We start from the raw sequence: 3,068 nt of genomic DNA, 5'->3' as shown, positions 1-3,068 counted from the left end.
CATTAAAAATCTTTAGAACATACAGACAGAAAATTAAGTCATCCATCAACAGGAAAACTCAGGCTGACTAAAGAGTTTCCCACTATAACATGCAGAGATAAAAAATGTGGAACTTTGTCTATCATGTCATGAGAAAAACAGAGCCTCAAGGATTTTCTAGGTCAAACTGTCTCTTAAGTAAAAATGTAGTAGAAAATTATTTTTGGATGTGGATATGAATACAGGGAATGTATTTCCCATGAGTAATATATTTTCCAAGAGTCAATACTAGAGGACCAATTTCAACTAATCAAGAAATATACAGAGAAACTGGCAAAAGATGCAAGCCAAGCCTTTTCCTTTGAGTCTGAACTGGTATCCTACATCATTTACTTCTGTATAAATTCATCCTTAAGGCTTGATCTGTAACGTCCAGATTATGTTTTAAGGGGCAGGGTCACTGAAATCTTGATGAGTAAACACTGTTATTGTGCACCAGATTCGGTTGCCATCTCCTTTTGGTCAGGTGGAAGGATTGTGTATTCAGGCTCTGATGAGATTAGCCAATAGGCCTGCTTTGTTTAATGTGTTGTTAGTGGAAACGAAATATGTTACCTCCAAGGGGACATCTTTAGCAGCCAACACTGACAATCTTCCTCCTATTTTCTCCACATGTTGAATAGCACTTGTTCCTGATGATGGATGCTCCAAAGATCCAGGACCCTGAGTGAGAACAATGTGGAACAGAGTCCCTCACCAATCCAGGTTGAGTATGTAATATGAGCAAGGCATAGGAGCCTGTGGTTTTAAGCCAGGGAAATCTCAGGGCTGTTGGCTGGGAACTGTTTTATTCAGTATGTGCATAACTAAACTTGTCCAGACAATAGAATACCCGTAAAGCAAAATGAATATAGACTCTTAGATTTACACATTTCTGCCCCAATCTTTTTCTCCCTCACAGTTGTCTCACTTCCCACTTCACTTGTATTTTCTTTTTAATTGTATAGTCATCTTAAGAGAATCTTCCCAATGCATTAAACTTAGCTTTTGTAGAAACATATCTTTGTCCTATCCTACTCATATTTAATTGGTTTATATCATGCTTAATTAAATTACATAATTACACTTACAAATGCAATTTGCTTTAAAGACAAGCAGAACTAAATCTTTGTAGACAGTGGGGAGGGAGGGTTGGAAAACCTATTATTAGCAAGTTGTAAGCAGGTAGTAGATGCTACTGTGTTTTGTAAGAGGAAGTGGAAGTGAGTGGGTGAGTTAAATGAAAGTTGCTTAAGACAGTTATTATAAATATTCACTCAAAATAATACTATGTAGCCATTTTAAAATTGTAGATATATTTTGTGTAGCCATTTAAAAATTATAGCTACCCATATATGTATACACATGTATGTATATTAACATTGCTTTGTGTGTGTGTACATGTTCACATAAGAATGTCTAATCTCTCAATAGTTGTTATCTTTTACACTGGCAGTAGAGAACCAAGAGGAAAGAAAAATATACATACATATATATATGTATCTTTTGCTTTTTTTTAAAAAAATCTTAAAACATTTTTATAAAGTAAAATTTTAAAAGTAAATATTTTCAACTGCAGTAACACAGTCATAGAAAATGTTATTCAATATCAGATTGCATAGCACTGTCGGTCTCCTGGAAATGCAAGTCATCATCAGAATGACGTGTTTTTTTTGGTTTTTGTTTTTGTTTTTGTTTTTTGTTAAAAATCCAAACTGAGCCTTCTTTGCTATGCTTTAAGAATGGGGGACATATTTTGATCATAGGAGATGATTGTTGAGTGCATATTGATTTCTCTTTGTTCAAAAAATAACCTCATTGATTAAACAAAGAGAGCCTTTGACAGAGTAGAAAGTAGAGGGACAAGAATTTTCACGACCACCCTTGGATTTAAAAATATTTAATGTTTACTGCTTTGTCTTATCATTCCTCAAACATGTTTTCTGCTTGTCTGGGCCACAGAATGAAGTGGAAATTGGAAGACCTGGAGCCCATTAGAGGACAATTCTTTTGCCTCCAAGGGTTGTAACTTTTCCCCAGCAGATACTGGACTCCATCGTGCAGACAACCTTCTTTAGTGAGAAAATGCACAACTGACTTCCAATCAGCTAACATTTCTTCCCTGCTTGAGTCATGACTGAGTTATTTGAGAGAAAACTTCTTTCTTTTCTATAGTTATTTTGCTTAAAATCATCATCAAAGACTATGTTTTGTTTTTTTTCTACTCTCTTTGAAAGTATGGACACTTACGTTGAGTGTTTGGTGCTAAGTTAGATAGCCACATTCCTATTTTTTTCAAATCTTCTTTCCTTATTTCTTTCTCTTTATTCCAAACCTTGTCAGAGTTGCTACAAAATTAATTGAACTCTCAGTTAAGTAGAGCTAATATTAATCTAGTTCTTACCATTTTAGGATATTCGTTAAAGGAATTAAGTACATTTGGGAAGGAGTTTTATTTAACCTGAAAATGGCTTGAAAATTACATCCTATTATTGTTGTGTTATTGTATGTTTTTCCAACCAGTATGGTTTCTGACTTTCAACACATTTTATGTGAAATGTTTTGCATGGAACTAATTATTCTCAACAACAAATTCCTAATCCAGTATCAGCCATTCACTGGGTACCTAAGCAAGAAGGTTTTATGCTCTCTAAAACTAAAATTGCATCGAATCTACCTTTTCTCATTAGGGCAGAGTTTAAAAAATGAACATAAAGATGTGTTCAAAGAAAAGCTCATTTAAAATAAATATTTTGTGCAAAATGCTTATTTTGTGTACATTTGATCAGATTGTTGGAGAAATTATATCCCTTCCTCAGGGCCTCTGTAGTAGCCAAGATGGTTTACTTCATTTATCAGTATTCAAATCTGACATTTGGAGGCTGAGCATTTAGAGAGAAATACCCATGGCCTGGATTTCACATCTCTCCCAGCCAATGAAGCCAGGTTTAAAAAAATGGAAAAAGAAAAACAAGAAAAATGTTTAGTAGCTAGCATTAAATCAAGTTTTACCTGATGGACTTGAAAGGATAGTTTTAATAAAGTAAAGG

At 34.3% G+C, this 3,068-nt stretch overlaps 1 long non-coding RNA gene across 1 annotated transcript; it reads left to right on the top strand.

The window, feature by feature from the left end:
• The first annotated feature begins 485 nt into the window (after positions 1-485).
• LOC124903245 (uncharacterized) lies at positions 486-2,781 on the top strand. The gene is made up of 2 exons (XR_007063938.1): positions 486-744; positions 1,981-2,781. It is a non-coding gene; the product is annotated as an uncharacterized LOC124903245 (long non-coding RNA).
• Positions 2,782-3,068: the final 287 nt, after the last annotated feature.

This window comes from Homo sapiens, chromosome 13 (genome assembly GCF_000001405.40).
Source record: "Homo sapiens chromosome 13, GRCh38.p14 Primary Assembly".
In the NCBI taxonomy this organism is placed as follows: Eukaryota; Metazoa; Chordata; class Mammalia; order Primates; family Hominidae; genus Homo; species Homo sapiens.
This window is presented reverse-complemented; position numbering and strand designations above follow the sequence as displayed.